Genomic DNA, 27368 nt, shown 5'->3' with positions numbered 1-27368 from the left:
AACTGCACCATGAAGAAATCCAAAATCTGAACAGACCAATAATAAGTAATGAGATCAAAGCTGTAATAAAAAGTCCCCCAGCAAAGAAAAGCCCAGGACCCAATGGCTTCACTGCTATACTTTACCAAACATTTAAAGAACTAATACCAATCCTTCTCAAACTATTCTGAAAAGTAGAAAAAGAGGGAATACTTTCAAATTCATTTTATGAGGCCAGTATTACTCTGATACCCAAACCAGACAAAGACATATCAAAAAAAGAAAACTATGGGCCAGTATCCCTGATAAAGACAAAAATCCTCAACACAATAGCAAACCGAATACAATAACACATTAAAAAGATCATTCATCATGACCAAGTAGGATTTATCTATGGATGCATGATGGTTCAACATATGCAAATGAATCAATGTCATACATCATATCAACAAAATGAAGGACAAAATCAATCAACATCCCTTCATAATAAAAACACTAAAAAAACTGGGTATAGAAGGAACATACCTCAACACAATAAAAGCCATATATGATGGATGCATTGCTGGTATCAAACTGATTAGGGAAAAGCTGAAAGACTTTCCTCAAAGATCTAAAACACAACAAGGATGACCATTTTGTTTTTTTCCCCCCAAAGCCCCCACATTCTGGGAAGAAAACAGATCACTTTTCTTTTTTTTTTTTTTTTTTTGAGACAGGGTCTCACTCTGTGAACTAGGTTGGTGTGCAGTGGCACAATCATGGCCCACTGCAGCCTCAATCTCCTGGGCTCAAGTGATTCTCCTGCCTCTACCTCCCAAGTAGTTGCAACTACAGGTGTATGCCACCATGCCTGGCTTATTTTTTCTCTATTTTTTTTAGAGACGAGGTCCCACTATGTTGCCTGGCTGCTCTTGAACTCCTGGGTTCAAGAGACCCTCCTGCCTTAGGGTGTGAGCCATCGTGCCTTTTTTTTTTTTTTTTTTTTTTTTTGAGACAAGGTCTTGCTTTGTCTTTCAGGCTAGAGTGCAGTGGTGGCACAAACATGGCTCACTGCAGCCTCAATTCTAGGGCTCAAGTGATCCTCCCACCTCAGCTTCCCAAGTAGCTAGAAATAAAGGGGCATGCCACCACACCTGGATTTTTTTTTTTTTTTTTTAAATTTTGTAGAGACAGGGTTGAGCCATGTTCCCCAGGCTGACATTGAACTCCTGGCTTCAAGCAATTCTCCCACCTCAGCCTCCCGAAGTTCTGGGATTGCAGGCATGATCCACCATGCCCAGCCACTGCCCACTTTCACCAATGTTATTCAACACGGCAATGGAAGTCCTAGCTAGGGCAATCAGACAAGAAGGAAATACAAGGTATCCAAATTGGAAAGGAAGAAGTCCAATTATCCTTGTTTACAGATGATATGATCTTTTACTTGGAAAAACCTAAAGACTGCACCAAAAATCTATTACAACTGATGAACAAATTCAGTCAAGTTGCAGAATGCAATCAACATAAAAAAATCAGTAGCATTTCTATATGCCAACAGTGAACAATCTGAAAGAGAAATCAAGAAAGTAATCCCATTTACAATAGCTGCAGATAAAATAAGATACCTAGGAATAAACTTAATCATGCAAATGAAATGTCTCCACAATGAAAACTACAAAACACTGATGCAAAGAATTAATATTGTTAAAACGTGCATACTACCCAAAGCAATCTACAGATTCAATGTAGCACTATCAAAATGCCAATGACATTCTTCAGAGAAATAGAAAAAATAATCCTAGAATTTAATTTATTTGGAACCACAAAAGACCAAGAATAGTCAGACATTCTGAGTGAAAACAACAAAACTGGAGGAATCACATTGCATGACTTCAAATTATACTACAGAGCTATTATAACAAAAACAGCACAGTGGCTGGGCACAGTGGCTCACGCCTGTAATCCTAGCAACTTAGGAGGCCGAGGTGAGTGATCACCTGAGGTCAGTTCAAGACCAGCCTGGCCAACTGATGAAACCCCGTCTCTACTAAAATAAATAAATAAATATATATATATATAAATTAGCCAGGCATGGTGGCGCATGCCTGTAATCCCAGCTACTCTGGAGGCTGAGGCAGGAGAATCACTTGAACCCAGGAGGCAGAGGTTGCAGTAAGCCGGGATCACGCCACTACATTCCAGCCTGGGCGACAGAGGGAGACTCCATCTCAAAAAAGCAAAAACAAAACAAAAAAAACTCCAGCATGGTACTAGCATAAAAACAGACATGAAGATCAGTGGAACACAATAGAAGCCCAGAAACAAATCCATATATCTACAGTAAGCTCATTTTCAACAAAGGTACCAAGAACATCACGATGGATGTTCTCTTCAACAAATGGTGAAAGTAGTCTCTTCAATAAATGATGCTGGGAAAACTGGATATCCCTATGCAGAAGAATGAAACTAGACTCCTATCTCTCATCATATACAAAAATCAAATCAAAATTGATTAAATATTTAAATCTAAGACTTTAAACTATGAAACTACTACAAGAAAACATTGGGGAAACTCTCCAAGATAATGGACTGGGCAAAGGTTTCTTGAGTAATACTACCAAAGCACAGGCAACCAAAGTAAAAATGGACAAATGCAATTACACCAAGTTAAAAAGCTTCTGCAGAGCAAAGGAAAATATCAACAAAGAGACAACCTACAGAATGATAGAAAATATTTGCAAACTACCCATCTGACAATGAATTAACAACCAGAATATACAAGGAGCTCAAACAACTCTATAGGAAAAAAATCTAATAATCCATTTTAAAAATGGGCAAAAGGTCTGAATAGACATTTCTCAAAAGAAGACACACAAATGGCAAACAGGTATATGAAAAGGTGCTTCACATCATGGATCATCAGAGAAATGCAAATCAAAACTACAGTGAGATATCATCTTACCTCAGTCAAAATGGCTTTTCTCCAGAAGACAGGCAACAACAAATGCCGGCAAGGATGTGGAGAAATGGGAATCCCTGTACATCGTTGACAGGAATGCAAATTAGTACAGCCACTATGGAGAACAGTACGGAGGTTCCTTGAAAAACTAAAAATAGAACTACCATATGATCCAGCAAGCCCACTCCTAGGTATATACCCCAAAATAGGAAATTAGTATACTGAAGAGATATCTGCACTCCCATGTTCACTGCAGCAATATTCATGATAACCAAGATTTGGAACCAACCTAAGTGTCCATCAATGAATGAATGGATAAAGAAAATTGGTACATATACACAATGGAGTAGTATTCCGTCGTAAGAAAGAATGAGATCCCGACATGTGCAACAACATGAATGGAACTGGAGGACATTATATTAAGTGAAATAAGCCAGGCACAGAGAGACAAACTTCACAGGTTCTCACTAATTTGTGGGAGCTAAAAATTAAAAGAATTGAACTCATGAAAATGTAGAGTAGAGTGATCATTACCAGAGGCTGGGAAGGGTAGTAGGGATGGGAAACAGAGATGGTTAATGGGTGCAAAACCACAGTTAGATAGAATGAATAAGATCCAGTACTTGATAGCATAACAGGGTGACTACAGTCAACAATAATTTACTCTACAATTTAAAATAACTAAAAGGGTATAATTAGAATGTTTGGAACACAAAGAAATGATAAATGCTTGAAGTGATGGATACTCCATTTACAGTGATGTGATTATATGTTTGTATCAAAATATCTCATGTACCCCACAAATATTTAAACCTACTATGTACCTATAAACATGAACATAGATTTAAAAATCATATTTAAAGTTGACTTATTCTGTCACAACCTGTGTGATTCATCCAAGGGAAGCATTACTATCTGCAGCTTACAAAAGAAAAAACTAAGGCTCAGAAAAATTAAATAACATGTTCAATATCATAAGCTGGTAAATGTCACAAAATCAAATAGAGGTCGCGATGCTATACACAGTGCTCTTTTAACCTTATCATACTATAAAGCATGGTAGTTTAAAATTACATTCAAGAAAAGGACATAAAAGTGAAAATGTAATAAGCGCATTTGTCTATGGTTCAGTACTTCTTTTTGGTAGATCTTAATTTTCTCTCTACTACTATAACCAGCCAAGGCAAGAGGACTGTATAGAAAGCCATACCCCATCAGAAAGCACTTCTGTGTATCACTTAGGATGCTTTCAGAAACAAGAAACTAAAAAACCCAACTTCAAATGACTGAAAAAATACAGAGATTTATTCTCTCATACAGTAAGAAATCCCAAATTAGGTCACTTTCAGAACTGATTAATTTTATGGTTCATAAAGTCCTAAAAAGCTCAAGTTTTCTTTCCATCTTTCATTTCTGACATCCTCAGCCTATTAGAAAGCTCCTTTCATGGGAACTAAGTCACTATAAAAGCTTCAGGCTTGCAGGCTCATGCCTGCAATGTCGACACTTTGGGAGGCTGAGGCAAAAGGATCACTTGAAGCCAGGAGTTCAAGACCAACTTGGGCAACAGAGCAAGACCCAGCCTCTACAAAAAAGGAAGAAAACTACCTGGGCATGATAGTGCAAGTCTGTAGTCCCAGCTACTCGGAAGGCTGAGCAAGAGGACTGCTTAAGCCCAGGAGTTGGAGACTGCAGTAAGCCATGACTGTGTCACTGCACAACAGCCTGAGTGACAGAGCGAGATAGGCAGGAAGAGAAGGGAACGGAAGGGAAGGGGAGGGGAGGGGAGGGAAGGGGAAGGGAGGGGAAGGGAGGCGAGGGGAGGCGAGGGGAGGCGAGGGGAGGCGAGGGGAGGGGAGGGGAGGGAAGGGAAGGGAAACTAATTTCAGGCAACAGTGCCTCACCCACCAATGTCCCAAGACAGGAAGGCAACCCTCTATTTCATATCATTATACTGTGTTATTTAATATATGTAAAGCATTGAAAAAGTGGCACATAATAAGCATCACATAAGGTTTGCTATTATTATTATTGGTTGTTTTTAGGATGTGAGAGACTTTTCCCAGAAGGCTTCATTTCTCATTAGCCATAATTGGAATACATGCCCCATTCTATGCCAGTCACTGGCAAGGGAAACAGAATGCCATGATTGGGTTAGACTTATCAGGATTCACCCCCTCTGAGACTTCGGATACACATTCTTTGGCTGTAAGACCTGTGGAGAGGAATGAATTCCTTAACAAAATAGAGGCTCTTCCACCAGGAAAAAAGGTCAGGAATAATTTTGGGTAGGAAACCCCCATATGGCGGTCCTCCACACATCCTTTCTTCTCAAGGAGCTAAAAGAGAAGGGGTATGGAGGGACCTTGGGGCTTATTCTCACAACATGGAGAAAGGCATCTGTGATGGGAAGGAATAAGCCAACTCTAGAAAAGCAATAGGAAAAAAAGAGGCAGACGGACACATCTGATGGTGCTCTGGTCTTGGGATTAAGTAAACCCTGAGAAAAGCTTCACTACTCAGCACGGTTTAGCTTGAAAGCCAATAAATTTCCCCTTTAAGATAGTTTGAGTTAGATTTGTCTTACCTGCGAAAGAATCCAGGAGACTGATGGAGGAAGGATAATATTAAATGACTGCACATGGTTTTGGAGTTGAAAGCTGAGACTTAATACTTTTGAGCCATCTGTGCAATCTTAGGCAAGTTAGTACTCTGAAATGCCCTACACATACTTAAGTACACACACATACACACACACACGTGTGCATGCCCACACACACATTAACATGGCTGAACTTTACCAAAAAGGTGGAAAATTTAAAGTTCCCAACTATTTACAATTGATAGCAGTTACCAGTCAAGTTCATGTTACTCAGGCTAGTTTCTCATTTAAATTACTAAATGAATCCCAAAGCTGGCTCATATTTAAAGGCCATTAAACATATTCATTAGTTTTCTCATTGGCAACTGACTCCTTAAAGACAATGACCAAGATCTGTATCATACAGTTCTTCCTCAGCCCTATAAGCTAAATTCACTGTTTTACTATGACTATACAATGTTGCCAGTGCTTTTTTTCCCTTTTAAATTTGGGGAGTTTTTCTAAGCCACTCTTCTCTTATATATTTACCTAGTGAAAATAGAACCTCATTCTCTCATAATTTTATCTGCACAGTCACAGTGGAATCTTACAGGTCACTATATTGTTTAAAGGAATACTTAGTGTGTCAATTATCTTTCAATACATGTAATTTCAGGTCCCTATTTCAAATAACTTCCAAAAGATAAGTAACTCCATTCCCTCTCCTTGGAAATGAGAAACTAGATATATGAAAGCAGAGTATTTTGCCACAAAACACATTCAACAGCTCATTATTAACTAAAAACTATTCTGGTTTCTCCCCTGTTGTCATTCTTGTTGCATTAACAGTTCCTCCAAGTTAATAACTGAAAATTACTCTGGACCAACAGGAATTTTAAAATTATTCATAACTATGAAGGCTACAATAGGATAAAATGAAGTTTAAAATTGGATATTAAAGGACTTTTAAAATGTCAAAATAAACCATGCATAGAATAATTTATTTAGGCCGGGTGCAATGGCTCATGCCTGTAATCCCAGCACTTTAGGAGGCTACGGTGGGCAAATCGCATGAGGTCAAGATTTCGAGACCAGCCTGGCCAACACAGCAAAACCTCATCACTACTAAAAATACAAAAATTAGCTGGCCGTAGTAGCACCTGCCTGTAATCCCAGCTACTGGGGAGGCTGAGGCAGGAGAATTGCTTGAACCCAAGAGGCAGAGGTTGCTGTGAGCCAAGATCGTACCACTGACTCCAGCCAGGGTGAAAGAGTGAAACTCTGTCTCAACAAAAAAACAAAACAAAAGAATAACTTATTCAAAAATACTTGATAATTAAGTAGAATTTCTGTACGCATTTATAATAATTTCAAAGTTTGTTTTCATTTTCTCCTGGAAATTTCACATCTGATATTAGAGCTCATGTTCAAAAGAGTCTACAAATCAAGTGATGGTTTTTGGCCATTCAGTATTCAAATCATAAATATAAAAACGTCACAATTTTCTAGTGGAGAAAGGTGACTCTAAAGTGAGTTATGGTTGGGCACAGTGGCTCAGGCCTGCAATCCCAGCACTTCGGGAGTCCAAGGCAGGAGGATCGCTTGAGGCCAGAAGTTTGAGACCAGCCTGGGAAACATGGTGAAATCCCGTCAAAAAAATACAAAAGTTAGGTGGGTGTGGTGGCATGAGCCTGTAGTTCCAGCTACTTGGGGGGCTGAGGCAGGAGGATCGTTTGAGCCCAGGAGGTCGAGGCTGCAGTGAGCCGTGTTCACACCACTGCACTTCAGCCTGGGTGACAAAGTGAGACCCTCCCTCAAAAATAAAAAGAAGTGAGTTACTAACCAAACAAATATTCAAGAAAATGAAGATAAATGTTTTTGGTTTTTATTTACAAGGATACTACTCAGTATAAGCTGGATACTATTGAATGATAGTCACAAAATCAAAGAACATTATAATATTAAAACTTTTAAAAATCATATAATCCAGGACTTCTTAACCTGGGTTTTAAGACAGATGTGTTATTTTCTGTATATGTATATTGTATACATTTTTCTCAAAATATGATCCTTGGCTTTCAACACAAAGGGGTCCATGATTGAAAAGAGGCTGAGAACCATTAGCTAGTCAATGTAGAAAAGTGGAAATTGAGACTCAAAGAAATAAAGTTATTCACCTGTGGTTAAATAATCAGTAAGTACAGCTGCAGTTCTCCTGCCTTCATTTCACTGAAGTACAAATGCCTCTAAAAATTTTTTTTAGTAAGCATATATTTAAGAGAAAAACAGATCTGTGTGACCTAAGCCAGTGAGGGGAACCCTCAGGCTAATGATAAAAGAAAATACTAAGATGGCAGCCGGGAGACATGACTTAAGAACAATCTATTCAGTATGGACTAGATGAACAGAGAATTCTAGGAGAGTCAGTTCCAAGAAAGGAAAAAGGGAAGAGATAAACCTGAATATGACTGACTGCAATAAGAGAAGTGTTACAATTTCATCAGAGACTTAGAAAAAGAATTCGTAAAACCAAGCAAAGGGGAAAAAAAGTTACACAGATTGGAAATATTACAACATAACATATCTTTAAATGATACATACACAAACATAATAATGTAAGCACCAAATACTGATTTTACCAAAATTTGGAGTCACTGGGATGATAGAGGGGGGAAACTTAGGGGAAGCTTATAAAAAAGCTAAATCCTAATCATATAGTCAGAAGTCAACAAGTAACATCTACAATAAAATGACCAAGAAAAAACAAGGCAGGCATGCTTCAAAACATGAAATATCATTTTTAAAAATGGTGTTATTCAACAAAGGCTGTCTTAGAGTGTGGGTCAGCAAATCAAGGCCTACAGGTCAAATCTAGACCCTTGCCTGCTTTTGTAAATTAAGTTTTACTGGAACACAGCCATGCTCATTAATTTTATATAGTGTCTATGGCTGCTTTTGTGCTACAATGGCAAGGCAAGGTTGAGTGGTTGCAGCAGAGACCTATGACTCAAAACCTAAATTATTTACTATCTGGCCCTTTAAAGAAAAAGTCAGTCAATCCAATCCTAGTTTAGAATGTTGTACGACATTTTGTATCTCTGACTCCCACCCATAAATGCCAGTATTCCATCAAAAGTTATTAGGATGAGGAGTGGGAGAACTTTGGTTTCAGAACCAATGAGCTATAAAGACTTTAAAATGATTGCCTCTGGGGGAGCAAAACTCAAAGGTTAGGTAAGGATAGGGATGGATAGTATTGCAGGCTGCTTTTTTTTTGCAATAATCCTTGAAACACTAATCTTTCAAAGTATCACATGTATTTCTTCAATAAAATTAAATTTAAAAGCAAAAGGAAAAAAATAGAGCAAATCAAATCCAGTTAATGGTTCTGGCAACTCCCTAATTTATGTGATAAGCCTGGGCAACATGGCAAAACCCCGTCTCTACTAAAAATACAAGATCTAGCTGGGCATAGTGGCACATGCCTGTAGTCCCAGCTACTTGGGAGGCTGAGGTGAGAGGTTCACTTGAACCCAGGAGGTCAAGGCTGCGGTGAGCCGTGATTGTGCCACAGCACTCCAGACTGTGTTAACAGAGTGAGACCCTGTCTCAAAAATAAATAAATATATATATAATAGAATATGTGATTACATTTGCTAGTATATTTTATGACATTTCCTATAGTTGCTCTGGAGAATATTTTGGTTGCATGTATCCAAAGCTGTCAGGTAAATGACCCTTGGATAAGAGGGTCATTTCAATTACAGGGCTAACTTCAGTTACAGGGCTAACTGAATCTGAGTATAATATTTCAAACCCTCTGATCCCAAGAAAGGTCAATCAAGTATGTTCTATAAATGATCTTCAGTAAAGTCTAAAGTGTTTAATGTAAAAAGCCAAACAGAGAAAATGTTTATTACTCCCGTAGATAGAAATTAGGAAAGAGAAAAACTTTCAAAGATATAGACAGGAAAATTTTTAAAGTTTGTTTTGTTTTGTTTTCCTTAACTTACAATTTTCTTTAGCTCTTTAGCTAAGCAGACTGATTTTTAACTTGATTGGAAGTTTAAAAGTTTAAAAGGAGGCACTAACAAACACAAAAGACAATTAATAGTATATCAATATCAATACTTCCAATAAAGTACCTCATATGAAAAATATAATTGTATACCTATGGCATGTTCTACCCAGAAAACAAATAACACATCTAAAAACAGACCATAATCCCATGCCATCTACTAAGGGAGGTTTAGGTAGGAGGACCACATGAGCCCAAGAGGTTAAGGTTGCAGTGAGCCATGAGTGTGCAACTGCACTCAAGCCTGGGCAACAGAGTGAGATCCTGTCTCAAAAAATATTTTTAAAAAGGCCATATTCTTAGTTTGTCTAACTTTTAAAGTGTTTTAATTATCACTTATTTTCAATTGAACAAAACTTAAAAATCATCTGTTTGGCTGGGCGCGGTGGCTCAAGCCTGTAATCCTAGCACTTTGGGAGGCTGAGGCGGGCGGATCACCTGAGGTTAGGAGTTCAAGATCAGCCTGACCAACACGGCGAAACCCTGTCTCTACTAAATATACAAAAATTAGCCAGGCATGGTAGCATATGCCTGTAATCCCAGCTACTTGGGAGGCTGAGACAAGAGAATCGCTTGAACCCAGGAGGCAGAGGTTGCAGTGAGCCGAGATCGCGCCACTACACTCCAGTCTGGGTGACAGAGAGAGAGATTCCATCTCAAAAAAAAAAAAAAAAAAAAGTCTGTTTTTTCTCCTATATAAGAAAAGCTTTAAATGTATCATTATATTTTGTTAATAGAGACCTGAAGAATAAGGTATAAAAATGTTTTAAAATGTGAACACAAATATAATCCACTATGTACACAAAAGATCTAAGGTATTACACAAAACAACATAAATTTTAAAGAATATAAACAACACTCATTAGGAGCAAACAGTTTATTGTATTGTCAAAAAATGCCTATATTCTTTTGGACTTTATAAAGAAAAACATTACATTGGTAAAGCTTATTCTGAAATATATAAGATGATACAGCTATTTAAAGTAGGTACGACAATCCTAAAACATCAAAATAAACACTTTAATATTTCAGTTTGTAAAATAGAGTTCCCAAAACTTTATTTTACTGAAACATTCAGCTATTGAATTGTAACTTACAAGAAACAAATTAAAAACTATTGATATAAGTTATGTAACAGCTCTGCTAATCTTTCTTTTAAAAAATTAAACTAAGGAAAGTGTTAATGTTTTTATAAAATGCTAATTTTATCCACTCCTGGAGATTTGCTTTCTATTATAATTAATCTAGCTACTTTGCTATTGTAGAGTAAAAAGTAGAGAAAAAATATGTTTAAGCATCATCTTTCCAATTTATTTAGAAGTAAAATAAGTACAAGAAAAATAAAAATAATCTTCCTTTCCCACTCAAAATCCTAACATCTATAGCATGAAATAAACATGTATTTTTGAAATTCAAACATTTAGAAAGCTAAAAGTTTTGACTATCAACTTACCTTCTTTTGATACCAGACTATAGCATCTGTGACTTTGGACGCCATTTATTCCACTGAAATCACACATTGGTCATTTTAGGCTGTGCAAGAGAGAAAAACATACAAATGACTTTATTTCCCACCTTCCAAAAGGAGACTGAACAGCATGCAGACATAGCACTCTGGTTACTTGCAGAGCAAGGGGTGTATGACGAGACTTATATTACACTCTTCCTCATTACTATTTTAGCAACAGGTTCTCTTAAGTAAACAAAAATCAGTTGCCACAATAATAGAAAGTTCTATTTGCATGAATAAATAACACTTGTTTTCTTACAAAATAGATTGAATTTTTTTTAATCTTTTAAAGAAATTTCAGAATTTCCTAGGTTATACCAGAAATTGTTCATCTAAAAATCCACATACAAGAAACCAATTCATTCAATCAGTAATGTAGTTTGTTTCTAAAAACCAGTGTCAGTTACCATTGCTAAAGGATGGCTTAACAGAGATGACAGAATTTATAATGATATTTAATTTTCCCTGACACTCAGTAAACACAAAACTGAATTAAAATAACCCAAGAGCCAAAAAGTATTTATGTTAAATACTAAGCCAATATTAGAGTTAATACACAGGAATAATTAACACTAAAGACTTCCCAGATATCACAGTTTGCTAACTGTCATTTAAGTAGTTATGACAATTAATCCTCAAAGATCAAAAAAACTCTTTAATATTTCAGTTTATAAAATACAGTCCCTAAAAGTTTATTTTATTGAAAAAAATTAAGCTACTGAATTGTAACTTACAAGAAACAGATTAAAACTGCTGATATGTTCTATAACTCTGCAAATCTCTTTTAAAAATAATCAAACTAAGACAAATACCAAAAACCATTTCATAAGCATCTTTTCTGTGTTTGTCTAAAACAGGATAGGTACTAAACTTAATGATTCCTTAACCCTAGAGGTTATTTGAGACTGATTCCCATCAACTCCAGAATACTATTTTAGTCACAAGATGACACTGGCATAGAGGTTACCTCTGGTCTAGTGTTAAGGATGAGCCTAAAACAGGTTCAAAAGCAGTTATTGGCTGCAGAACTCATTACAAACCAAAATCATCCAAGGACACACAGGATGATCTCAGGGAAATCCTGGGGGTAAAGCACCCTGCTGAGCCAATCCTAGCACATACAGATCTGCAACTGTAGAAACGCTACCACTAGTTTGCCTCAGTAAACAAAGTACCGGAGGTTTTATATACCACTCTTGGGAGCATGCATGATGAGTGGGAGCATGCATGAGTGGGAGCATGCATGCTTTTTGAGCATATTAAGATTCAGATACAATAAAAATTATCAACAAGTTCAAATGTTTAGACGATAAACCTCTAAAATTTAAAGCAGAATTTATTCAATGCCTGTATTTTTGACTGTTATAAACCAAATTATTTTATAACCTTTCCTAAGATATTAGTGACTCTAACTGATCAAATTCAAGCAAACTATGTTTTGAAATTCCTGACAAACAGCCTAACATAATGGAAAGAAAAGAAGGTTAGAGTCAAAATACCTGAATTCAAATATTAGCTCTACTATCTATTATGTAATATTGAATAAGTCACGGAATTTCTCTCAACCTGTTTCTTTCACTTATAAACTAGAAATAACTGTACCTCCCCACCCCTTATAGGATCTTTGTAACCAATAAATAATATATATAAGATGCCTGCCACAGTCCAGGACATACAGTAGGTTTTCAATTATAATTATTTTTAACATCAATTTTCATATAAAAAATTCCCCAATCTAGGAACTAGAAGTATTTATATTTCCTTTTTTAAACATAGCAGTTTAAGGAGAAATACATGCAATCAGTTTTTGTTCACATTGAAAATAAAAATAGCTATCCAATTATCATAAGGTCACAATGTCAATTCTCAATTACATACACATGGATTATTTACAGATTTCAAAGTTCACCTCCACTTAATTTCTCAGTCAGGTGTGGCTATCTTCATTTCTCTCACGAGGGTTTTTTGAGGAAGCTTTCCCTTACTGACTTAAAATCTCCCATTTTTGTTTTTCTGTCCTGGAAGCCTTTGAGTATGATTTATTAACTTCAACCACCTTGTATCCCAGAGGTTTGCCCCACTGATTTTGCTAGGGGACTATTCAATACACACTACACCTTCATTGTATTTGTTTGTCATGACAACTGTGAATGCTTTCCAGATTGGTTATAACCTATCCCCTCAAGCAAACTATGAAAAATGGTACAAAAATATGAGAATATCAACTTTTCACTTTACCCTCTTTTCACTTTACCCAATCTTTATTGACAAATATTCCAGATTATCTAACAAAATAAAGATCCTCTTTCCTAACCCCCAACAATGTAAATAATATACATTTCATACACAAAACGTGAAAGGATTTTATCACTCTATTAAACATATCAGATATTTAATATATTTAGGGAATATTTAAATGTTCACATATAAATAATAGTATTTTTTAAAAGAAAAAGCTCAAATGAAAGTTTGAAAAACACTGCCTGCCTCACAAGAAAATAATCGCAAAGACTTTATATATTTGTTTACCAAGCTACACTTAGATAAATACCAAAAATCTAACAGTATTCTAGTTATATAAAGTGTTCTAAATATTTTAAACTGTATTTATTTGGGTCTATAGAAATAAAAATTCAACGAATTTTCTGTTTAAAATAAAAAAACCTTTCTTCAGTAATGGTGATTTTCTGTGCAAACTCATTTAATAGTTTTTCCATTGTGTCAACAACCTTTCAGTCACACTGAATGGCTCATACCTATTTTTAAAACAGGTTTTACAGCATGCTAAGATAGATTTCTGAACCAGCTATCTGACAAAGCACTCAAAGATACCCAATTACACGTGGGTATAATCAACAAGGATTAACAAGTCAAATTATTTCAGGAATAATGAAGATTATTTCTAAAGCCTTTCCAACTTCTTTGATTCTATGACAGTCCAGGAATACAGGTTCATAGACTGTATTGTCATGATAGCTCAGGTTTAATGTTAAATGATCATATTAAAGTTTATTTACAGAAAAAAGCATAAAAAACCTACTGGGGACCTTTAATAGAGGATCTTAATCTTTTTTGATCAACTGATCTGATACAAGGATGGGTATTATGATGCATAATCTTTATTTATTTAGAAATAATCCAATCCTAAAACCATAGGGCTAACTGCAGGCATAACATTAGGCAGTTAACTCTAAGCTAACACTATCCTTGACATAGATTTAATTGTCACACCTTAACAAAATATCTGAAATTCTTTTTTTTTTTTTTTTGCTTTTTTTATTATACTTTAAGTTTTGGGGTACATGTGCAGAATGTGCAGGTTTGTTACATAGGTATACACGTGCAATGGTGGTTTGCTGCACCCATCAACCTGTCATCTACATTAGGTATTTCTCCTAACGCTATCCTTCCCCAAGCCCCCCACCCCGACCGGCCCTGGTGTATGATGTTTCCCTCCCTGTCTCCATGTGTTCTTACTGTTCAACTCCCACTTATGAGTGAGAACATGCAGCATTTGGTTTTCTGTTCTTGTGTTAGTTTGCTGAGAATGATGGTTTCCAGCATCATCCATGTCCCTGCAAAGGACATCCTTTTTTATGGCTGCATAGTATTCCATGTTGTACCTGTGCCACATTTTCTTTATCCAGTCTATCACTGATGGGCATTTGGGTTGGTTCCAAGTCCTTGCTATTGTGAACAGTGCCACAATAAACATATGTGTGCATGTGTCTTTATTTGCTGTATTGATTTCCACACAAAATGCCAAAGACCAGGGTGGTGGGAAAAGATGAGTACAGAAGAGATGGTATGTTAAGTCTGCCTTTACGGAATCTCAATCAAATACAGTTGAACAACATGGTGGGTAAGCTGCGCTGGTCCGCTTACATGTGGATTTTTTCAATAAAAGTTATACCAAGTGTGCCTGATACTCCTGCCTCCCCTTTCACCTCCTTTACCTCTTCTGCCTCTGCTATCCAGGAAGGGAAAACCAACCCCTCCTCTTCTTCAACCTATTCAGTGTGAAGATGACAAGGATGAAGACCTTTATCATGATCCACTTCCACTTAAAGAATAGTAAATGTATTTTCTCTTCTTCTTCCTCTTCTTTTTTTTTTTTTTTTTTTGAGATGGAGTTTTCGCTCTTGTTACCCAGGCTGGAGTGCAATGGCGTGATCTCAGCTCACCGCAACCTCTGCCTCCAGGGTTCAAGCGATTCTCCTGCCTCAACCTCCCGAGTAGCTGGGAATACAGGAATGCGCCACTACACCCGGCTAATTTGTAATTTTAGTAGAGACAGGGTTTCTCCATGTTGGTCAGGTTGGTCTCAAACTCCGGACCTCAGGTGATCCTCCCGTCTCAGCCTCCCAAAGTGCTGGTATTACAGGTGTGAGCCACTGTGCCCGGCCTATTTTCTCTTCTTTACAATTTAATAACACTTTTTCTCTAGCTTACTTTATTGTAATTATACAGTATATAAACATATAACATATAAAATATGTGTTATCTGTTTATGTTATTAGTAAGACTTCCTGTCAACAGTAGGCTATTAGTAGTTAAATTTTGGGGGATTCAAAAGTTACAGCCAAATTTTCCACAGCACAGGGGTCAGTATCCCTAACCCCAATTGTTCAAGGGTCAACAGTATAATAATGCCTATGAGTATTCTTTGTACAAATATGGTCTCCCACATTGTCAGATTTTTAACCAATCCCCATGTTACAGAAATTCTATCAAATACTACATAAATGTTACCATGTACATCTCTCATTATTCTGAAACAAATTTGTCTGTTCTGGCATGACTCTCACTAGGCTCAGAAAACAATGTATTTCCACCCCTGACACTTTGCGTGTGTTATTATTATTCCTATTCCATTCTTTTCTCCACTCATACATCCTTCTAAATCAGCTCAAATCCTACTTCCTCCAAGATGAAGCTTTCTTTTTTTTTTCTTGTTTTTTTTTTTTTTGAGACGGAGTTTTGCTCTTGTTGCCCAGGCTGGAGTGCAATGGTGTGATCTCGGCTCACTGCAACCTCCGCCTCCCAGGTTCAAGCAATTCTCCTGTCTCAGCCTCCTCAGTAGCTAGGACTACAGGCGCCCACCACCACGCCTGGCTAATTTTTGGTATTTTTAGTAGAGACAGGGTTTCACCCTGTTGGCCAGGCTGGTCTCGAACTCCTGACCTCAGGTGATCCGCCCGCCTCGGCCTCCAAAAGTGCTGGAATTACAGGCATGAGCCACCGCACCCGGCCAGCTTTCCTTTGGACTAAAAAATGCTGAAGCTTAATGTCTCTCTTCTAGCACCAACATATGCTCAAAAATCTGTAATTTAAATAGAAATGTAAAGCAGTATGTGGCCACACAGGTCACTTGGTCATATGTAAACACTCTTAAGGAAAAAATGTGGCAACATTCTTTGTCTCTAAGTACTCAGTACACTGTAATATATGGTACAGGAAGTACAGCAGATAAAAAGCAATGACTAAGCATCAAGATAATTGGGTTCTAGATCCAAGTTCTGATACTAAGAGCTGTGTGCTCTTGAATAAGTTACTGAGTTCTCTGGACCTCAGTTTTCCCCAAGTGCCATCTAGCCAGATATTCCACAACTCAATAAAGGTTAAATAACAATTGTGTGAAAAGAAAAAGAGCTCCGAGCAGTCTGAGCCATGTGAGGTAGGCAAGCACAGACACGTGAGTATAGGACTTGAGTCAAGCCCCTACACCCAAGCCTGGGGGCAACTGTTTAAAGTCATTTTCTTCCTGACTAGCTGCCTCACTCATTTATCTTCATGTTTCTGGAATTTGTGATACAAAGAACAATGTATAGCCAATCAACAGTTTATGTTATTTTAACATAAATTCTCAGTAAACAACTCAGGAACTGCTTCTTCCTTCCGTTTAAAATTTTTTTTTTTTTTTTTTTTTTTGAGACAAGGTCTCACTCAGTTGCCCGGGCTGGAGTGCAGTGGCACGATCAGGGCTCACGGCAGCTTCGACTTCCCAGCTCAAGTGATCCTTCTGCCTCAGCCCCCAAAATAGCTGTGACTATAGGCATGTACCATGATGCCTGGCTAATTTTTTTTAATTTTAGCAGACACGAGGTCTGGCTATGTTGTCCAGGCTGGAAAAATGCACTTTTAACTGCTGCTAATCAGAGGGTATATTCAGAGCAACTCAAATCTGTGCTCCCAGTTGCAATCCTCAAGCTTGATTCAAATAAACCCTCTAATTGTATTAATTTTGCTCCAGCTTCTTCCTTTCAGGTCACCAATTCCAATAATGTACAGAAGTTTCTCTGAATTCTAACACACCCAAAAACATTAATATTACTACTTAAATTAGTGTTACATATATGGAATTTAACATAGTAGAAACTGTTAAACTAAATAAAAAATATCTTATTTAATTTATTTTTAGAGATAGGGTCTCACTGTCACCCAGACTGAAGTGCAGTGGCTTGATCATAGCTCACTGTAACATCAAACTCCTGGGCTCAGGTGACTGTCCTGCCTTAGCTTCCCAAGTAGCTAGACTCAGCAACAAAAGGGCACATAACATATCCTCATGCACATCCTGCTGAGAAGTATATCACACAAAAAGTTGCATGCCACCAAACTAGGCTATTTTTTAAATCTTTTGTAGAGAGAGATGGAGTCTCATTATGCTGCCCAGGCTGGTCTTGAACTGCTGTCTTCAGCAATCTTCTTACCTCAGCCTCCCCAAGTGCTGGGATTACAGGTGTGAGCCACTGCGCTTGGCCCTAAAGAGCTTTTAATTTTTTAAAGGTAGTTTTTATAAATCTCCTCAGACTCTCATATTATTATTCCATTCCAACAACCTTGTATCATTCTCTGCTGCTTACAAAATAAAATCCACAAGTATTTAGACTCTCTACAATCTGACCTTAATTGTCCAACATTATTGCTCATCATCTTCTCATATGTCTTGTTTCAACCATCCCATACTTTCAACATTTTTCTACCTCTGTGCCAAAATTAACACTTCTCTTTCTAAAACAAGGAAGATTTTGACAAGACTTCCAAAATTCCACTTTCTCCATAAGTTTCTCCCAAATTCTTCCATTTAATATTTCTCATCCTGTTCTGTGTTCCCCTTAGAGTAGCACTCCCTTTATCCAAGGCTTTGCTTTCCACATTTCAGTTACTGCAGTAACTGCAGTACAGTAAAATATTTGGAGACAGAGACCAAATTCCATAACTTTTCATTAGAGTATACTGTTACGATTGTCCTATTTTATTATTAGTTATTATCTATCTCTTACTTGCAGCAGTCCCCAACCTTTTTTAGCACCAGGGACTGGTTTTGTGGAAGACAATTTTTCCATGGCCAGGGTAGGGGGGATGGTTTTGGGATGATTCGAGAGCATTACATTTATTGTATACTTTATTTCTATTATTATTACATTATAATATATAATGAAATAATTATACAACTCACCATAACATAGAATCAGTGGGAGCCCTGAGCTTGTTTTCCTGCAACTAGATGGTCCCATCTGGGGATGATGGAAGACAGTGACACCCAAAGTGTATTGTTTATGTCCAGTCTATTCCATAATCTCATTTTGGTTGCTGTTAACTATACTACAGAAAACCCTGCTTCACAAAGATACGATGTTAGAAATGGAAACAGACTTTTCAGTGTTTTGTGGCAATCTCAGGATAGTCCGCCTTGACTTTAATCCAGAATGTATGGAGATTTGAAGTTGTCTCAAACATACTTTTAAGGCCACCATCATTTGTGACCTTAAGCAGTTGATCCTCTTCTAGCACGGACAAAGTCGATACAGCTGGCTTATTCACAAACAGCTTGTGGATCCATTACTTCCCAGTTCGGGGGTCTTCTGTGGTTGGGAAGTAATGCTCAAACTCTTTTGAAAGCTGAGATAGGTGATCATGCACCAGCTGGGAGAAAGAAGGTCCTGGCTGAGTCTCTTTAAAAATCTCTGTTAATGTTTGAAGCATGTCAAAAAAAATCCCTCAATGTTCACTCAATTCCAGTTTGGCTTTGAATGCAGCCACTTTATCTACTGACTCGAACACATTTGTCATTCTCCCCTGAAGTGACAAGCTGAGTTCTTTGAGCAGGTTGAATATGTCACACAAGTAAGCAAGTTTTGTGACCCATTCTGCATCACTGAAATGTGCTACCAGTGATAACTATTTTTCTAAAAAAAAAAAAAAAATCTCTGGAGAGACCTTGTAACTCAAAACCTCTGGCCAGTGATCTACCTTAGAAAGCCATCTTACTTCTGCATATAAGAGAAGCTGTGTGTGCTCTGCATCCATTTCCTCACAGAGCTGCACAGACAGACATAAACTAAGGGCACGTACTTTAATGTGGATAATTTTAATCACATCCTGCAAAATGTTGGTTAAGTTTCGGTGACATTTTGTGCCTAGCCAGCATTTCTCTACGGATGACACAGTGCGTAGACTCGCATTCAGAAGCAACCTCTTTGACCCAAGTAGTGAAACCAGAAAGCTGTCCAGTCATGGCAGCCGTGCTCTGTTCATGCATATACCAACACAAAATTACCAAATCAGTTCTACAGCTGTGGTATTGGTTGGCAACAAAAGGGCACATAACATACCCTCATGCACGTCCTCCTGAGAAGTGTATCACACAAAAACAAGCATTACTGCCTTGTTGTCAACGTCAGTAGACTTGTCAACCTGGATTACACACCATGGTGACTCATTAATCCTAACAATTGTGCCTCAATATCCTCTATTTCATCAAATAATCTAGTTATGGTACTAGCTGAAAAAAGAACATGTGCCACCTTCTGAACTGCAGCCTCTCCTAAAAGTTCGTAACAAATGTCCTTAACAGCAAGCAGGCAGGATCAACTCTTCACCAATAGTAAACGGCTTCTTAGCTTTAGCAATGCTTTAGCCGCTAAGAATAATACTCTCAGTGCAGACACACTTGATGAAGTGGTGGCCTTCCATAATTGCTTCTGTTCTTCATGTTCACGTTTTTTTCTTTTGAAAAACTCCAAAGCCTTGTCTTTCAATGCAGGATAAGTGGTCTCCACGTGACAAAGCACTTTTGAAGGTTTCATGGCTTGTTGGATAGCCAGTCACCACATACACAAAGCAGGCCTAGAGAATGTGAATCACCTGTTGCAATGAACCCATAATTTAAGTGGGACTCTTGGTGTTTTCTTTTAAATGCAGCTTTCTTTTTGTTGGCAGTCTTAAGAGTCTTCTGCTGTCTCATCATTGGGTCTTCCCCCTTTACAAAGAAGCTCTCTAGTAATGTTTTGTTATTTACTCATTTTGGCTAAGGTTAGCTTGTGGGCTTAACCAAATCTGTGACTGAGGTAAGTGCCCAGTGTGACAAAGAAATGTGGACGGATAAGGTAAGTAAAATAATGGGCGGGTCATGCATGGACTAAAATTAAGTGTTGGATTCTGACTTAAAGCCTGTCACCAGATGCAGCTGTACAAATGAAGCACTCAACTCACTGACAGGGTTTTGATATGGGTCTGCAAGCAATTTATTTATTATGATCTCTGTGCAGTCAAACCTCTCTGCTAACGTTAATCTGTATTCGCAGCTGCTCCCCAGCGCAAGCATCACTGCCTCAACTCCACCTCAGACAATCAGGCATTAGACTCTCATAAGAAGCATGCAACCGAGATCTCTCACATACACAGCTGAGAATAGGGTTCGCACTCTTATGAGAATCTAATGCCGCTGCTGATCTGACAGGAGGCAGAGCTCAGATGGTAATGGAAGTGATGGGAGGCAGCTGTAAATACAGATGAAGCTTCGCTCACTTGCCCACTGGCTCACCTCCCGTAGTGCAGCCCACGGTTCCTACCAGGCCGCAGACCAACTGGTTGGGGACCCTGTCTTACTGTACCTAATTTATAATATAAACTTTATCATAAGTATGTATATACAGGAAAAAAACACAGCAAATATAGGTTTGGTACTATCTGTGGCTTCAGGTTTCCATTGGGGATCTTGGAATATAACCCTCACAGATAAGGGGGACTGCTGTGTACTTACTATATTGTTTTATATAGACTTTAGTGTACTTATCTGTATGTGCCCCCACCTCCCACCCACACGTTCTTTGAGAGCAGTCCAATGTCTTTATTATCTCTGAATTTTCCTAAAACTTTTCGCCTATATTAAACACAAATGTTTACACACCATATTAAAAAGTTGCCAAAGTACCACCACAGATGAATTTGAGGGCTAGAATTGAAAACTCTACCTGTCCAACTCCTGTACTCCCCCAACATGCACATAAACAAACATACTTTTTCATAACATTAAAGGGTACAAAGATATCATGAAGTATAATAAACATGGTTCATTTATTTACTGACATGTCACTCAGTCACCAATACATTAAGATTTAAAAGGTTTTACATATTGCAGATCTAAAAGGTCTAATGAAAATAAGTTAAAGTCTAGTCTAACACCATTCCTAAATGCTAAAGTTAAATATAACTCAGTTGCCTTCACCACAACCAAAACAAGAAATTTTTAGACCTTGAAAACTGGGAACAAAGTTGCTCTGCCCTTAAAGGGTAATAAATGTTAAGGTTCAAATCACATCTTTCATAATGATACAAAAGCTAAACAAAAAGAATGAAATCTTCTACTAGTTTCAGGGTTCCTACTTTGTAATCATGTGATCTATAAATTATTACAACTTATAAGAACAATTTTAATTCTTCATCTGGAAGGAGGATAATATTTCATGGAAATATTTGAAAGAATAAACACCACACGTTTTATGGTCAAAGTTGTAATTTTAAACAAAATGCAAAATAAGGTCTAATAAACAGCTATACATTTTCTATTATACCAGTCATAAAAAGAATATTTGTAATTTTTATTTTCCTTAATGGAACCAATGCATAGTCTGTGTACTTTGGGCTAGAAGATGATACATAATCTAAGAAGAAAAAACTACAGGCAAGTAACATCTCTCTATACCCGTACTAAATAAAAGTGTTTTGTGCTGTTACAAAATCTAAGTGAATCCCTATAGCTATAATCTCTTTGTTAGGAGACAGGGTCTCACTCTGCCACCTAGGCTGGAGTTCAATGGTGAAATCATATTTCACTGTAGCCTCAAACTCCTGGGCTCAAGTGTTCCTCCACCTCAGCCTCTCGAGTAGCTGGGACTACAGGTGGACACCATCGCACCTGGCTAATATTTTTTATTTTTTAACTTCTTGTGGGGCCGGGTCTCACTTTGTTGTCCAGGCTGGTCTCAAACTCCTGACTTCAAGCAATCTTCCTGCCTTGGCATCCCAAAGTACTAGGATTATAGGTGTGAGTCACCACGACCAGCCTAGAGTTATAATTTTATTTTTTTTGAGATGGAGTCTCGCCCTGTCACCCAGGCCGGTGTGCAGTGGTGCAATCTCGGCTCACTGAAACTGCCGCCTCCTGGGTTCAAGCAATTCTTGTGCCTCAGCCTCCCGAGTAGCTGGGATTACAGGTGCGCACCACCACGCCCAGCTAATTTTTGTATTTTTAGCAGATAGTACCAAACATATATGTTGCTATCTTTTTCCTATATAAATTTTGTATTTTGAATTTTTAGGGTTTCACCATGTTGGCCAAGCTGGTCTTGAACTCTTGACCTCAAGTGATCTGCCTGCCTCAGCCTCCCAAAGTGCTGGAATTACAGATGTAAGCCACTGCGCCCAGCCTAGAGTTATAATCTTGATACTAACCACAAAGCCCTCTGCAGAATTTCCTGATGGGCACAATCAACCCACCTGATATGTCTTTTAAAGCAACTTTTTAAATTTCAGGGTTCCTTAACTTCAATATTACTATTACCAACCAAAGTACCACCACAGATGAATTAATTTACTCTACCATTCCTTGAGCATTCTTTGGGTTTTTTGTTTTGTTAAGTACTTAAAGGTCCTTTAAATAGCTAATTATAATGTATTGGCTTTTTGTTTTATTTGACTGCTGTGCTGCTTAGAAAAATCAGTAATGAAATATGATCCATTTAAATGGTTTAACTTCCTCATTTACTCACAGGAAAGTTTTACCACCAACCTATCAGGCTCAATTCAAACATGGACATGTTATTACTGGTCTTCAGCAGAAACGTTCTAAATTAGTGTTCCAAGTACTCTTTATCAAAATAGTAATGGACTAAATGATATCTAAATGGCTTAAAGAGTTAACTAAACGGCTTAAAGAGTTAACAGACCTTAAAAATGACTTAATTTAGAGATTAAAATTTGCTAACAATACCTCATCATCAAAAATACTATTGAGGCTGGGCTCCGTGGCTCGCACCTGTAATCCCAGCACTTTGGGAGGCTAAGTCAGGTGGATCACTTAAGGTCAGGAGTTTGAGATCAGCCTGACCAACATGGTGAAACTCAGTTTCTACTAAAAACTAATACAAAAATTAGCCAGGCATGGTGGCTGGCACCTGTAATCCCAGCTACTTGGGATCCTGAGGCAGGAGAATCGCTTGAACCTGGGAGGAGCAGACAGTGAGCTGCGGTCACACCAGTGCACTCTGGCTTGGGTGAAACAGCGAAACTCCATCTCAAAAAAAAAGGCTGCACGCAGTGGCTCACACCTGTAATCCCAGCACTCTGGGAGTCCAAGGCAGGTAGATCATGAAGTCAGGAGTTCAAGACCAGCCTGGCCAAGATGGTGAAACCCCATCTCTACTAAAAATACAAAAACTAGCCGGGCGTGGTGGCAGGTGCCTGTAATCCCAGCTACTCAGGAGGATGAAGCAAATAACTGCCTGAACCCGGGAGGCAGAGGTCACGATGAGCCGAGACTGCACCACCACACTCTAGCCTGGGTGACAGAGTGAGACTCCGTCTCAAAAAGAATAAATAAATAAAAATAAAATATTAATTTAATTTTCCACGAATTCTAAGAAAAGAAAATGAAAACTGGAAGAACTCATGAACTTCAGATGTCTTGCCACACGAGTTATTTAGGTCTTAAAAGTTCCTCCTAACATTTAGAAAAAAGTTTCCTTAGCTTATAGAGCCATCAAAACAAAAGAAAAAAGTGACAAAAATCATTCTTTAATAAATCCACAGTGATTTTAACTTTTATCTACATGTTCAACTTTACATGGTATCCATGACTTCCTGCTATGAAAGCAGACATAATCAACATGCTTATACTTCTCCAAAGATCTAACATTTAGATTTTATTCCACAGCCACCATTCTCAAAGTTGTTCCATTTTCTTCTGTATTTAAATGGATCTGATGATCACCCCCGATTCTTTTAAGATGGCTTTGCCATACCTGAAGTCATCACTATTTAATTTTGTTTCATTTGAGGTTGACTTGATTTAATCATCAAGCAGTATTTTTCAAGAAAGGAGTGCTATATTCTCTGTGCTCTTACATGTTAGAGAACATCTGCTTGCTTCCTGTGTATTTGATTAACCACTTGGTTGGCATGGCAGAGACTGCTAATTGACACCCATTATTCCATCATCCTCTTTGAAAATTGTGCTGGCACCCTGTTGCCCAAAATAAAGACCTTTCCTAACCTTTCTTGCAGTTAGATGTGGCCAAGACTAAGTTCTGCTCCAAACACCACCAAAAGTGTTGGGTAGTACTTGTAGTTGGGAAAAGCACTTTTTTTCTTTCTCTTCTCCCTTTTCCTGATCCTTTCAATGTTATTTTAATGACGACAGCTCCAGCAGCCACCATGGACAGTGACATTGAGACTAGAAACCAGGTGTGTTCATAGATAGGAAAGATCCTGGGTTGCCTTGGGTGAAGCCACCATACTAGTTCTAGACTGACTATTTCCATACTTTTTGTACCCAAGGTTATAAATCCTTATAGTTTAAGCCACTGTTATTAGCAGCCAAAAGAAATCTAACTGATACTGTTGGGTATAATACTTCTGGTTGACAACTTCCTACCGTCAAAACTTTGTAAACATTTTTCCATTGTCTTCTGGAATTGACAATAATTGAGAAATTAAAATTCAGCCATCTTGAATTTTTTTCTCTTTGTATAGGTCATGTTTTTCTCTTTTTGGCCAGGATAACAAAATAATTCTCCATCTTGAATTTTTTTCTCTTTGTATATAGGTCATGTTTTTCTCTTTTTGGCCAGGATACCAAAATAATTCTCTCCTTAGTTTTGAAGTTAAAAACTACTAGGATATGGTCAATTTTAATCATTTCATATTTTTTTCCTAGCATTTAGTGTGCCTGTCAATCTGCAAATACACATTTCATTTCAAAAGCTTTTGTCTGGATTTTATTTCTCAATACTTTTTCTGTTCCATTTGTTGAAGTCTCTATTTTAGGGATATCAGCTATTCTTACCTAGGACAGTCTTTTCAGAGTTACTTCTTTCGTTTATTTTTCTCCTATATTTGTAGAGTTGCCATGCTATTTTTTTTATCACGTTTAATACAGAAACTGCTATCCTCAGCTCCTATTCACTCTGATATCCAAGATTCTGCTCGGCCACCCCTAACACCTTTCTCATCTTAGTTGGGGCCATTTTTATTTTTGTGTACACGTCTTTATGCATACACACACAAACTTCAGTTTGAGAATCAGGAACTACTCTTAATCTACTTTTCTATAATCCAACGACACAGAAAAGGAAGAGCTAAAATTGGACTGAGCACAGGCATTGCTGAGGTGTCCTTAAATGTCCTGTACCAAGACTGATCTCCCTAGTTAGGGATCTAGCCTACCTTCATGGGCTTTGGCTCTTGCCCTTAACTCAGAGTACCATTCAAAATGCCAGTGCTTGTTGCCTCTGCTGAGGCTCAGCGCTGGTATGTAGGGTCTTCTCAAGGATTTTTCCTTGACTTTTTGCTTCCTATTCACCTCCTAGGTCTACTTCTCTAAAAGTATGAATGAGATATCGCAATATTTTGTAGGCTTCCTCTTTCCTTTGTCTTGTTTCTGGGATACGGGGCTGGGATTAGAAGCCTTGTCATATACAACTAGTATCTTCTCATTCTTTCTTTACCTTCCACTTTTTGAAGTATTTGGTATAAAGCTACAGATACCCCTTTTTTGTCTGCTTCTTTCCATTTCTGCCCTCTTTCTTCAACCCACCATCTACTCTTTCCTTAATTTGGTTTTAGTGAAGAAAAAATCTGTGACCCCACTTCATTTTTACTCAGAAATCTCTCATTTATATTATTGTTGTTGTTGTTATTTAGAGACAGAGGCTCGCTCTGTCACCCAGGCTGGAATGCAGTGGCACAATCATGGCTCACTTCAACCTCAAACTCCTGGGGTCTCAAGTGTTCCTCCCTTTCTCAGCCTCCCAAGTAGCTAAGACTACAGGTGTGTGCCACCACACTCGGCTAACGTTTTTTTTTTTTTGGTAGAGGTGGGGTCTTGCTATGTTGTCCAGGCTGGCCTTGAACTCCTGGTCTCAAACAATCTTCCCACCTTGGCAGCCCAAAATGTTAGGATTACAGGAGTAAGCCACTGTGCTTGCCATTTTACTTCTTTTAACATTTAAGTACTTAATCTTTTACATTACTGACTCAATTAAAAAGTTAAATTTATTTGGGAGGCCAAGGCGGGCAGATCACGAAGTCAGGAGTTCAAGACCAGCCTGGCCATCATGGTGAAACATCTCTACTAAAATACAAAAATTAGCCAGGCATGGTGGTGCACACCTGTAATCCCAGCTTCTCAGGAGGCTGAGGCAGGAGAATTGCCTGAACCCAGGAAGTGGAGGTTGCAGTGAGCCGAGATTGCACCACTGCACTCCAGCCTAAAAGTAAAATTTAAATATTCTAAGATGAGATTCTAAACTAACAACAGCTGCACTTTTACTTCTGCTATTTCTAACAAAAGGAAGTAAAGGGAGGATACCCAGTTTCAATTCTTTTTATAAACTCAAGATACTAAGCAAAAAACACAAGATCATAAACTAAGCTCTTCCGTGAATTTGTTACAACTACCTCCAAGAAAAAAAAAAAAAACAAACCAGGATGTATTTTCCCTCCTCAAATCTTATCTTTTACTATCTGCTCAATTTTCCAACAAAGAACCCTAGAATCTTTCTTGTTTCCTCCCCTTTCCCACCTCCCACCACTATCAATTCTATACCTGGCACACAGAAACCACTCAATAATTATGAAGGAATAAATTAATATAACGTATTTGTCATACCTCCAAACTTCTCTCATATGATCCCTCTCCAGCCCCACTACCATACACCTGGTACAAGCTGATATCTAATACCAGGACTACACTAACAATCTATTATTGTTGCTTTAC

At 37.9% G+C, this 27368-nt stretch overlaps 1 protein-coding gene across 23 annotated transcripts in view, besides 3 other annotated features; it reads right to left on the bottom strand.

Annotated features, from left to right (window-relative positions):
* The window catches only part of PHTF2 (putative homeodomain transcription factor 2), a 158732-nt gene that overhangs the window by 106175 nt on the left and 25189 nt on the right, over nt 1-27368 (bottom strand). For 19 of the 23 annotated variants that reach the window (XM_011516422.4, XM_011516423.4, NM_001127358.2 and 16 more), the window contains exon 2: nt 11030-11109. In XM_011516422.4, coding sequence (XP_011514724.1) covers nt 11030-11074 — 45 coding nt within the window. In that variant the 5' untranslated portion in view covers nt 11075-11109. Of the gene's footprint in view, nt 1-11029; nt 11203-27368 lie in introns of those variants that run through there. The other 4 variants (NM_001366089.1, NM_001127357.2, NM_020432.5 and 1 more) reach the window with 1 other exon arrangement.
* Nucleotides 15913-16413: an enhancer, noted in NCBI's record as "H3K27ac hESC enhancer chr7:77464234-77464734 (GRCh37/hg19 assembly coordinates)". NCBI's record gives its function as "activates a minimal SCP1, AML or CMV promoter by ChIP-STARR-seq in naive H9 embryonic stem cells {active_cell/tissue: H9 hESC(naive)}" and the evidence as "EXISTENCE:reporter gene assay evidence [ECO:0000049][PMID:30033119]".
* Nucleotides 20377-20436: a silencer, noted in NCBI's record as "silent region_18331". NCBI's record gives its function as "represses an Ori minimal core promoter by ATAC-STARR-seq in GM12878 lymphoblastoid cells {active_cell/tissue: GM12878}" and the evidence as "EXISTENCE:reporter gene assay evidence [ECO:0000049][PMID:35858748]".
* Nucleotides 26905-27004: an enhancer, noted in NCBI's record as "active region_26209". NCBI's record gives its function as "activates an Ori minimal core promoter by ATAC-STARR-seq in GM12878 lymphoblastoid cells {active_cell/tissue: GM12878}" and the evidence as "EXISTENCE:reporter gene assay evidence [ECO:0000049][PMID:35858748]".

The sequence above is a fragment of the Homo sapiens genome, chromosome 7 (genome assembly GCF_000001405.40).
Source record: "Homo sapiens chromosome 7, GRCh38.p14 Primary Assembly".
NCBI lineage: Eukaryota > Metazoa > Chordata > Mammalia > Primates > Hominidae > Homo > Homo sapiens.
The sequence above is the reverse complement of the archived record's forward strand: the minus strand, read 5'-3'. Positions and strand labels throughout refer to the sequence as shown.